Below are 12,565 nucleotides of genomic sequence, written 5' to 3' on the forward strand. Positions count from 1 at the left end.
AGGGCAGATCACCTGAGGTCGGGAGATGGAGACCAGCCTGACCAACGTGAAGAAACCCCGTCTCTACTGAAAATACAAGAATTAGCTGGGCGTGCAGGCGCATGCCTGTAATCCCAGCTACTCGGGAGGCTGAGGCGGGAGAATCACTTGAACTCGGGAGGCGGAGGTTGTGGTGAGTCAAGATCACGCCATTGCACTCCAGCCTGGGCAACAAGAGCGAAACTCCATCTCAAAAAAAAAAAAAAAAAAAATTCCTAGACTCAGGAGTTCCATCAAAAAAGCCCAAAATTTTCTGCCCTTAGCACAAACACGTCAAAAGCCTGAATTCAATTTTTCCCCTTCCCACCTTCCGGTCTTTTTTTTTTTTTTTTTTTTTTTTTTTAGGTGTAGAGAGCTCTGAGAACTGCCTACCCTGTACTCCACTCAGGATGCCCCCCACAGGGTGGGTGTTTCCATGTTAGTGCCTTTCCCCTTTTCAAATAGGGGAATGAGACAAGACTCACTGCTGGACTTTCCATTTTTCCTAACACTGCCCCCCTTAACCTTGCTAAGACCCAGGTCAAAGGTTTAAAGTTATTTCTTTCAATGGCACTTCACCTCTATGATCTTCCTTCTAAAACCCATAACCCCAGTCTAACCATAAGAAAATATTAGACAATGGCAGGGCGCAGTGGCTCACACCTGTAATCCCAGCACTTTGGGAGGTCGAGGCAGGTGGGTCACCTGAGGTCAGGAGTTGAGACCTGCCTGGCCAACATGGTGAGACCCTGTCTCTACTAAAAACACAAAAAAATTAGCTGGCCATGGTGGCTCACACCTGTAATCCCAGCTACTCAAGAGGCTGAAGCAAAAGAATCACTTGAACCCGGGAGGCGGAGGTTGCAGTGAGCTGAGATCATGCCACTGCACTCCAGCCTGGGTGACAGAGCAGGACTCTGCCTCAAAAAAAAAAAGAAAGAAAGAAAATATTAGACAAACCCCAGTTGAGGGGCATCCTAGAAAACACCTGACTAGTACTCCTCAAAAACATCAAGGTCATCAAAAACAAGGAAGGTGTGGGAAATTATTACAGTCCGGAAGAGCTTAACTAGCCATGGTGACTAAATGTGAATCCTGGATGGGGATCCTGAAGCAAAAATAAAACAAACAAACAAAAAAAAAACATGTTAGGTTAAAAGTATGAAAATATGAATAAAGTCTGGACTTAAGTTATAATAATGATTCAACATTTGTTCATTTGTCGTGACAAATATGTCATACTAAAGTAAAACGTTAACAATAGGATGAGGGATATTTGGAAACTCTCTGTATAATCTTCATAAGTTTTCTGTAAGCCTGAAACTATTCTTTAAAAAAAAAAAGGTGGGGCTATTTTATGTATCTCTTTATAGGCTTAGTTGAATTTCTCAGACAAGGAGAAAAAAAATTTGTTTGTAGCAAAACTCCTCAAAGAGATATCCACACGTGGTGTCTCTAATTCCTTTCTGCTTGTATCAATCTGTTCTGGCACTGCTATAAAGAAATAACTCAGACTGGGTAATTTATAAAGAAAAGAGGTTGAATTGGCTCACGGTTCTGCAGGCTGTACAGGAAGCATAGTGGCATCTGCTTGGCTTCTGGGGAGGCCTCAGAAAGTTTCTAATCATGGGGGAAAGCAAAAGGGCAGCAGGTGTTTCACATAACAGGAGCAGGAGCAACAGAGATTAGTAGGGGGGTGGGGGTGCTATACACTTTTTTTTTTTTTTTTTTTTTTTTTGAGATAGAGCTTCAGTCTTGTTGCCCAGGCTGGAATGCAATGGTGCACTCTCGGCTCACCGCAACCTCCGCCTCCCGGGTTCAAGCGATTCTCCTGCCTCAGCCTCCCGAGTAGCTGAGATTACAGGCGCCTGCCACCATGCCTGGCTAATTTTGTATTTCTAGTAGAGATGGAGTTTCACCATGTTGGTCAGGCTGGTCTTGAACTCCTGACCTCAGGTGATCCGCCCGCCTTGGCCTCTCAAAGTGCTGGGATTACAGGCATGAGCCACTGCACCTAGCCACACACTTTTAAATGACCAGATCTCATGAGAACTCACTCACTATCACGAGAACAGCACAAGGGGATGGCCCTAAACCATGCAGGAGAAATCCACCTCCACGATCCAACTGCCTCCCACCAGGCCCCACCTCCAACACTGGGCATTACAGTTCAACATGAGATTTGGTGGAGACACAGATTCAAATCATATCACCTCCCATCCTCTCTCGCCTATGCCTACTCCAACCAGTCTGCCCCCACCACCACCTTCTCATCACTCCACTGACAATGTCTTTGTCAAAGTTACCATTGTTCTCCAGCTTGCTAAGTCCATGGTCAGTTCTCATCTCTAGTCCTAGCTGGCCCACCAGCTGCACTTGCCATGGGTGATTGCTCACTCTTCCTTGATTTACTTTCTTCACTTAGCTTCAGGACAGCATGATGTCTTGGTTTTACTCCTTCCTCATGGATTGCTCCCTCAGTCTCCTTTGCTGGTTCCTCCTCTCCTCCCCAAACACCAAATTCTGTGGATCCCTGGGCTCAGCTCTTGGTCTTCCTTTTTATCCATACTCATTTCCTTCCTTTTTTTAACTATTATTTTAAGTTCAAGGGTACACGTGCAGGTTTGTAGTATAAGTAAACTCATGGCACGGGGGTTTGTTGTACAGGTTATTTTGTTACCCAGGTATTAAGCCTAATACCCATTAATTATACTTCCTAATCCTCCCCCTCCTCTCACCCCTTATCCTCAGGCAGGCCCCAGTGTGTGTTGTTCCCCTCTATGTGTCCATGTGTTCTCATCATTTAGCTCCCACTTGTAAGTGAGAACATGTGGTATTTGGTTTTCTGGTCCTGCGTTAGTTTGCTAAGGGTAATGGCCTCCAGCTCTATCCATGTTCCTGCAAAGGACATGATCTCATTCTTTTTTTTCTCACCAGTATCGTAGCTTCAAGTACTGCTGAATGCTGATGACTCCCATATTTGTATCTCCAGCCCAGCCCTCTCACCTAAACTCCAAACTCTTATATCCAACTGACTTCCTAATGTCTCAACATAGATGCCTCATATACATCTCAAATTTAGCAGATCTAAAACTGCATTCCTGAGCCTCAATTTTTTTGAGGCTCATTTGCCTCACCTGAGGTGATCTCACCTGCCAAAACTGCCTTGCCTATCCCATCTCAGTTGATGATGACATCATCCTTTTAGTCACTCCGACCAAAAATCCTGACATCATCTTTGACTCCTCACTTACTTTTACACTCCATATCCAATCCATTAGGAAATCTAATTCATCCTACCTTCAAAATGTGATTATAAAATTATATATGAAGTACCTGTAATTTCCTAAATTGAAATATTATTAACCCACGCAGCGGGGTAGGGGAAGGGGTCCACCTTTCCCTCCATCTCTTAATATTAGGATCTAACACAAAGTGGCCCTGGCGTCCTTCCCCGCTTGAATGCTGCCTGCCCCCAGCACATGGCTGCAGCACATTAGCCTCCAACCCTCTGAAGTTCTAGCTCTACCCCGCCTAATTTCTATGTCCTGTACTCACCCTGATGTGTCCTTCATTCCTGCCCCAGCCTGGGCTCCCACCTCCCCTCCTGCCATTTCCTCCCTGCTCCTTTGCTCTTGGCTACCCTGGCTCCCTCCTGTCCCCACAATGCGTACATCTTCCTATACACTTCACCTCTGAAGTAGGAGGTGTCCCCAGCTGGCCTCTCATCCCAGATTATATGTCAATCTAGACAAGTCTCCTTGAATTCTTTGCCACTGCCAGGTCCCAGAAAGTCTCTTGCTAAGACCTTGCAAGCCAATGAGGTTATCCCAGCTTCTCTTCTATATGGCTCCCATTTATTGAAGCTGCACCAAGAGGTGAGTTCAGGTCCTAGCCTTCCCCTTCCTGGCTGTTTAATGGGGAAAATAAAAACGCCTACTTCATTTGCCAATTCTGAGGATTAAATAAGATGCCTGGCACATAACAGTCACACAATAAGTGTTTGCTGTTGTTACCCTGCTGTTACTACTGCCCTCTGCACCACGCTTCACATGCATGCTCTAATTTAATCCCTGCATTGTGGGCTGAGATTTACAAATCAAGATGTACTCTCATTTTTTTTTTAAAGAAATTGAGGCTCAGAGGGGTTACAAGTGAGATTTTTTTGAACATGCTGCAGCTAGAAAGTGGCAAAGCAGAGATTCAAACTCGGGTGGGCCTGGCCCTAAAGTGTTAGCCCTTGCTATATGATATACTGTATCCTCAAAATGACTTTCTCTGGGGAAGAGCAAATCCATAAAATGTACATACATTCACACTCCTTCTAAAAAGTAATAAGGGGCCAGGCTCAGTGGCTGACGCCTGTAATCCCAGCACTCTGGGAGGCCAAGTCGGGTGGATCACTTGAGGTCAGGAGTTCAAGACCCCATCTCTACTAAAAATACAAAAATTAGGCAGGCATGATGGTGCATTCCTGTAATCCCAGCTACTCAGGAGGCTGAAGCGGGAGAATTGCTTGAACCCAGGAGGCAGAGGTTGCAGTAAGCCGAGATCGCACTACTGCATTCCAGCCTGGGCAACAGAGCAAGACTGTCTCAAAGAAAAAAAAAAGAAAGAAAAATAGGAAGTAATATGGAAATATATAGCAAAAAGTCTTACAGATGCTTGTACCATTTATAAAATGCCTAAATAAAACAGTTGGAGTTATGTATAACAAGATATTATTAGTTTCTCTTTTGTTTGTGGAAATGCACATGATGTTTTAGTCAATTACTATTTCTGCTATCTCAAGACAACTCCTGGCCAGGCTCAGTGGCTCACTCCTGTAATCCTAGCACTCTGGGAGGCCAAGGCAGGTGGATCACTTGAGCCTAGGAGTTCGAGATCAGTTTGGGCAACATGGCGAAACCCTGTCTCTACCAAAAAAGAATGAAAAAAAAAAAAAAAAAACTAGCTGAGTGTGGTGGTGTGCACCTGTAGTCCCAGCTACTCGGGTAAGGAGGATCACCTGAGGCTGGGAAGTGGAGGTTGCGGTGAGCCAAGATCTTGCCACTCCACTACAGCCTAGGCAACAGAGTGAGACTGTCTCAAAAAAAAGAAAAAAGAAAAAAAAAACAGATAAAAGACCACTCCTTTCTCTGGGTTGCAGGGCATAAGAAATTACAATGGGTACACAAGACATCAAGGAACAAAGAGACCACAAGTCCTCTGCACACCTCCCAGGGGCAACATGACTCTTTGAAATAGATGTGACACCCTCTGGAGGAGGGGGACATGAACAGTCTCTGTTGGGGAAAGTAACTAGGGTCTTAATTTTCTCATTTCTATTGCAAAATGTCATCATCCAGAATTCTTTCCAATAACACATCAGCCCCTTTGAATTTACCTCACACATTTTTTAAAGGTGTTGTTTGCTTACTGTCTGTTTTTTCCTTTCTACTCTCTCTCCCATCCTGTTGTTTCTATATTTGATACAAATATTTAAATTAAACATAGTAGAAGGATGGTTTGCATTAGGGCTTATGTTGCACTTGGCCGTGATGCCCAGGGCCCAGGTGCACGTGCCTCCAACAGCAGGGCAGACACCTGTTAGCCAGTGATTTTTTTATTAGAAAAATAATACAAGAACTTCTAATTAAAGATGGCAAAATGAAAGTGATGTAGCTCCACTTTCTTCTTGGAAACCCACAGCCTTCCTTCTTTGATGAAATTAGAAAGCAGTTTCAATCCTGGGCCACAGTTGGTTTTGAAGATGTGGATGGGAGGGTAACAGGGAAACCCACTGGAAAGGGTTAAGGTGCAGCTCAAGTGAAAACAATAGAGGTGAAAGCTCCAAGCACAGAGCCTGGCACATAGTAGGTGCTCCATGGCCCTTATTCATGAAGGACGCTTGTTTTCTTCAAGCAGAGGGACTGCTAAGCTTGAGCCAGGAGGAAGGGTGTGGGGAAGAGCCAGCATGAATGAGGGCCACTGCCAGGAGAGGTGTCTCTTTCTCTCCCTCACACACACACACACACACACACACACACAACACAAACACACACCAAAACACAAACACACACCAAAACACACATACACATACAAACACACAATATACACACACAAACATACAACACAAACACAACACACACACCAACACATACGTATGGAAACACACAGATACACATGTACACACACTCAAATACATACACACACATATACATACACAGAAACACATATACACAACACACACACGTACACAAACACACAGAAGCACACCACACACGCACACATATACATGGAAACACACACACACACACACACACACACACACACACTTTCTCCACGAGAAGGAGCAGAATCCAGGCCAAACCCATGGAATCAGATCCTGGGGCAGAACCAGCCACGAGTCAGCCAGTGGGCGGGGTCAGGGAGATCTGGAGGACATGTGGATGACTTGGGGGGTGGCCCCCACTCAAACCAGACCCCTCTGTCCTTTGACATCCCCAGCCTTCAGTCCAAACCCTCTGCCTGGCACCCAACTTGAGGCTGGAGAGAGGGTGTGGCTGAGCTTCAGCCCTGACAAAAGCCGCACCTCTCTGCCAGCCACAGCTGTGGCCCATGGGAGGGAGCTAGATCCTGGGCTGGGACCTGAAAGGTCTGGCCCCACCCAGCATGGCGATTATCTTGACATGTAAACTTGGGCAAGTTACTCTCCCTCTCCAGTCCTGAATTTTCCCTTCTGCAAAATGGGAGTAGCCACATTGCCTTGTCTTCCTCCAAGGGGATGGTTGTGTGGCTCTGCTGAACTATTCATAATAGGAAATTGCTTTGTGACTCGCCCAAAACATTAGTCACTGTGATTATTAGCATCATCATCATTATTGTTCCTCAATCCACATGCCAACTGTCCTCCACCCTCTCTCTCCTCTTGCCCTCTGGAAAGCAGCTGAGTTGACAGTGGAAGGCTCCCCAGCACTCCCACGAGTCCTTCCCTGACTTACCTCTCTCCTCCAAGAACCTCTGCCTTTTGCCAGCTGGTATTGAGTCAAGGGAAGGCCCCCGCTTTCATCCCAAACATTCTCCCCCCGACTGACCACCCTGATGAAGTGGCAAGAGCCCTGCTCATCAAGGGGCTCACTGATGGTTTGGGGGCATATCTCATCCTCTCTCTGACCTCAGCTGCCTCATCTGTAGAGGGAAAGTGTTGATGCAAACTTCACAGTGTTGGCATGAGCACTACACAGGATCATGTAAGATAAAGAGCCCATTTCAGGCCGGATGCAGTCACTCATGCCTATAATACCAGAGCTTTGGGAGGCTGAGGTGGGAGGATCACTTGCGCCCAGGAGTTTCAGACCAGCCTGGACAACATAGTGAGATCTCATCTCTACAAAAAATGAAAAAAATAGCTAGTTGTGGTGGCATGCACCTGTAGTCCTAGCTACTCAGAAGGCTAAGGTGGGAAGATCACTTGAGCCTGCGAGAGCAAGCCTTCAGTGAACTGTGATTGTGCCACTGCACTCCAGCCTGGATGACAGAGCAAGACCCTGTCTCCAAAAAAAAAGCGGGGGGAATAGGGTACAGGTGGGGGCTGGACAATAGGCTCTGGGAAGCTTGTCATTGCATTTGTCTGTGTAGTGTAGAATAGCTAAACTATCCAGACATCCATCAATAAGAAATGGTTAAGTGAAATACAACACATACATAGAGTAGAATACTACACAGCCCTTAGAAAGAATGGAGGAAGGCATGGTCAGAGTTCTTGGTTGCAAGCAACAGACATGCCACACCTGGCTGATATCAGACAGACCATTTCACAAGTCCAGGGTGTACCATCCACACTGGGTTCTATGTAAATACCCCCCTCCTGCTATGTTTTTTGAAACTGTGAAACTTAGAAGCTTTGCAAAGATACCAGGGAGTTTATAGAAATAATGATTAGAGGCTGGGCATGGTGGCTTATGGCTGTAATCCCAGCACTTTGGGAGGCCGAGGCAGGCGGATCACAAGGTCAAGAGATCGAGACCATCCTGGCCAACATGGTGAAACCCCGTCTCTACTAAAAATACAAAAATTAGCCGAGTGTGTTGGCGTGTGCCTGTAGTTCCAGCTGCTCGGAAGGCTGAGGCAGGAGAATCGCTTGGACCTGGAAGGTGGAGGTTGCAGTGAGCCAAGATCACGTCCCTGCACTCCAGCCGAGCAACAGAGCAAGACTCCATCTCAAAAAAAAATAAAAAATAAAATAAAATAAAATAAGAAATAATGATCAGAAACCAAGGAAGTCAGCCGAGGTCACCGGCAAGAATCATCTGGTCAGGATTTTTTCAGTGGCTCTCAATATCATCCCCATCGTAAATGGCTTTCCAACTGTTCCTGCACCTTTGGCTTATTCTCTCAAGACTATATCCCCAAGGAAAAGGCATAGAATAATTAAACCTCAGCCATGCATTTTATTTATTAACAAACACTCATGTTTGTACATACTATATACCAGGCACTGTTGTAAGAATGTTAAGTGGATTGTCTCCTGATTGCTTTATTTGAATTTATTTAATCCTCACAACAATTCTATGAGGTTGGTGCTATTATTAACTTCATTTTCTGAATGACAACACTGAGACAACTTGTCCAATTTATTTGACAAATAAGCAAACCTGGGATTTTAAACCAAACAAACTGGTTTTGGAGCACTACACTAGCTGCCTCTACAGGCATAGGAGACGTCTAGAAGGAATCACAAGAAATCATTCTGTGGTAATCTCTAGGGAATAGGATTAACGGAAGCAGGGGATCTTTTTTCACTTGATCGGTTCTATGCTATAGACGTTTTGTTTATTTATTTTTTGAGACAGTCTCACTCTGTCGCCCAGGCGAGAGTACAGTGGTGCAATCTCAGCTCGCTGCAACCTCCGCCTCCCAGGCTCAAGCTATCCTCCCACCTCAGCCTCCCAAGTAGCTGGGACTACAGGTGCATGCCACCATGACCACCTAATATTTGTATTTTTAGCAGAGATGAGGTTTCTTCATGTTGGCCAGGCTGGTCTCAAACTCCTGAGCTCAAGCCATCTGCCCACCTTGGCCTCCCAAACTGCTAGGATTGTAGGCATGAGCCACTGTGTCTGGCCTAAGTTTTATTTTAATGACGACCCTGGACGGCTTGTATGGTGAAAATATTTTTAATACAAAGGTTTTATCTATCTGATTTTTGTTTGTTTGTTTTAGTCTGTGTATGTGAAGCCAAAAGCTGAGCTAGCTCTGAGGGAAGGAGGGCTAGGGCGCGCAATGAGCCACCAAGGAATTCTGCCAGGGTTGGAGTTGGAAGGACAATTTGTTGGGGGCCTGAGATGAGAAGGAGGAGGAGGAGGTGATTGCCGCCAGTCTTCTGCAGTTGCTCTTAAACTTGAGCCTGCATCACAGCCACCCGGAGGGCTTTTGGAAACGTTGCTGGGCCCCACACCCAGAGCTTTAAACTAGTAGATCCAGGGTGTGGCCCAAGAATGTTCATTTCTAACGTGTTCCCAGATGATGCTCATGCTGCTGGTCCAAGATCACACTCAGAACCACAGCTCTACCCTTATGGGCAGCACTGTACAACTTTTTTTTTTTTTTTTTTTTTTTTTTTTTAGATGAAGTTTCGCTCTTGTTGCCCAGGCTCGAGTGCAATGGCGTAATCTCGGCTCACCGCAACCTCTACCTCCCGGGTTCAAGCGATTCTCCTGTCTCAGCCTCCCGAGTAGCTGGGATTACAGGCACCCGCCACCATGCCCAGCTAATTTTTTATTTTTAGTAGAGATGAGATTTCACCACATTGGTCAGGCTGGTCTTGAACTCCTGACCTCAGGTGATCCATCTGCCTCGGCCTCCCAAAGTGCTGGGATTAACAGGCATGAGCCATCGCCTGGCAGCTCTGTACAACTTACAGAGCATGTGCACGTTACCTGGTCTCATCTAGTCCTCCCCACAGCCCTGAGAGAGAAGGGGGCAGGCAAGGGCAGGGCAGCTATACCTGCTGTGTTGCTAAGGGGAATGAGGGGTGCCCACCTCGCCGCAGCCTGCCATGCCCCAGTTATCCGGTACCCACCACCCCTCCACCATCAGCTCCCACCACACTACCTCACCCAGTGAATGCCAGCTCACAAGCCTTCTCTCCGCCCCAGAACTTCAAGCTTTGTTTATCCCAGAAGGCCCCCACATCTGCACTCTCTCCCCCTGGAACAATGGAAGGCTGCCTCCCTCTCAGACCTCAGTTCAAATTTCGCCCCCTCAGGGAGTCTCCCTTGACCACCTCACTTAATCACCTCTCCCCTTTCCAGGTGTCCTCTATACCTGTGATGAGTGACGCAGTGGCCACAAATCACATGGGGCTATTTAAATTTAAATTATCTAAAACAGAACTTAAAATTCAGTTTCTTGGTCACATTAGTCACATTGACTGCTATGTTGGACAGCAAGGATATAGAACCTTTCCACCATCACGGAAATCCTGTGGACAGCGCAGCTCTCTACCCTTACTCAATTTCATCATCTTCCCAGCAATGATCACTAGTTGAAACCTTATTCATTTACTGACTTGTTGTCTGCCCTCTCCTAGAACACAAGTTTCTTAAAGACAGTGTAGGACTCTCTTTTTCACCACTGAATCCCCAGTGTTCAGCACAGTACCTAACATATTCCCAAAGCAGGTATTCAAGAAACATTTACTGGGAGGGTATTTTGGGGGGCAACTGCCAAGATTAGGAATTGGAGTCCTGTAATAGGGAACAGGGGTCACTCAGATTATCTTGTTCATCTGGGAGAAAATACACCTCAATTATTATCTGCATAGTGTAGTTAGTTGTTAGCTTTTTTCTGTCTATATCCTCTATTAATTTCCATCCTCATCTCAGCTGCTGGGAAGAACACGCATGCCCTGGCTGCCTAGAGAGGGATAAACAGCAGCAGTTCCATTCACCGCTTCAGGAAAAAGAACCATCTTGGACCTGGGAAAGAGCAGAGCAAGGGATGAGGTGGGCTGGAGATGGGATTGTCCATGGCAGGAGGAAGAACAGAAAGAAACAGTGGCTCATGGATCCGGGAGTTTTAAATGAGCTTGGGATACCCTAGAATGAAGAATCAGTGCCCAGCTCTGGACTGACACAGTCTGGACTTAAGTCTCTGCTCCACGGCTTATTTGCTGTGCAAATTACTTTCTGGGACTGGGTTTCTTTGTCTGTAAATTAAGAATAACAATATATTTTTCTAATTAAGATGGTTATGGGAATTAAATGGGTTCTTCATAAGTCCTTAGAATTTCAGGCCCTTAGTATATGTTCTTTTTTATCACCTTTTCCAAAGCCCCAGGGCTGCCACTCACCTCCCGCAACAAAAAAATTGCTTCCCAGCAGTTGCTCCTCATACCTCCCCTTCCAGCCTTCCCTCTCCTCTCCAGCACATGTCTCTGGACTAAAACCCTTGTGACTGAACCTGCCTTCTCTGCCCAGCCCCTGGTGACTCCTAACAAACTTGTAATGCTTGCCCTGGCATTCACATTTGCTTTCCCATTTGCTGTTTCTCAGCTTAGCTCCTCACGTCCGCTCATGTGGGGCGCAAGGTCTAGTACACGCCCACACCCAAGATCCTGAGACCCTAGTCTGCTCCCCTGCCTGGTGGAGGACACTGAGCCCTTGCCCAGCACTCATGTCCATCACCAGAAGCTTTGTGTCTCCTTTCTTCCTCTGATCACTTGTGCAGTGTCACCCAGGAGCTGGGAGAAACAAAGATTCCTGGGCCCCACTGCAGGATGCTGCATTTTAACAGACCCTCAGGTGATTCATAAGTCCATGAAGTCTTGTGGGTTAGAACCACTAACCCACAAGCCCTTGTCATGGGATGCAGCATGATCCACCTGGGGGACTGAGGGCGACTGTCTTCTCCAGCCTCACCCTCCCCACATGCCCTTGAAAAGCCACTCGAGTCCTGTGCCCAGGAGCCCTCTCCTCCTTTATCATCTGCGGAATGTCTACCCTTCCTTGCTGGTGCAGCTCACTTGCCACCTCCTCCAGGAAGCCTTCCTGGGCTCCATAAAGCTGAGCTGCTTATGCCCTCCTCTGTGTATTTAACAGCAATTTGCTTTTCATTGTGTGATGTGGCCGAACTTCTTCATTGGGCCTGGGGATCTGAAGCCACGCCACTTCAAATGAGTGGGAGGGTGTGGAAAAAGGGCAAGTAATGGCCTGCAGAGAAAGGGGCCCTTCCTGATCATCCACTGTGCATGTTCACATTCATCAATGACTTCGCTCTTTCCTTTTAACCTATGAGGTTGGCGTTGCCCACAGGTTTTTTTTGTTGTTGTTATTGTTTTGTTTCTTGGTTTTGTTTGTTTTTGAGACGGAGTCTCCCTCTGTCGCCCAGGCTGGAGTGCAGTGGCGCGATCTTGGCTCACTGAAACTCTGCCTCCTGGGTTCAAGCGATTCTCCTGCTTCAGCCTCCTGAGTAGCTGGGATTACAGGCACATGCCACCATACCCGGCTAATTTTTGTATTTTTAGTAGAGACGGGGCTTCACCATGTTGGTCAGGCTGGTCTTG

The 12,565-nt window shown here is 46.5% G+C and overlaps 1 long non-coding RNA gene across 1 annotated transcript in view; it reads left to right on the forward strand.

Moving 5' to 3' along the window:
• The window catches only part of LOC105372630 (uncharacterized), a 59,516-nt gene that overhangs the window by 46,178 nt on the left and 773 nt on the right, over positions 1-12,565 (forward strand). The window lies entirely within an intron of this gene.

Source organism: Homo sapiens, chromosome 20 (genome assembly GCF_000001405.40).
Source record: "Homo sapiens chromosome 20, GRCh38.p14 Primary Assembly".
Lineage (NCBI taxonomy): Eukaryota > Metazoa > Chordata > Mammalia > Primates > Hominidae > Homo > Homo sapiens.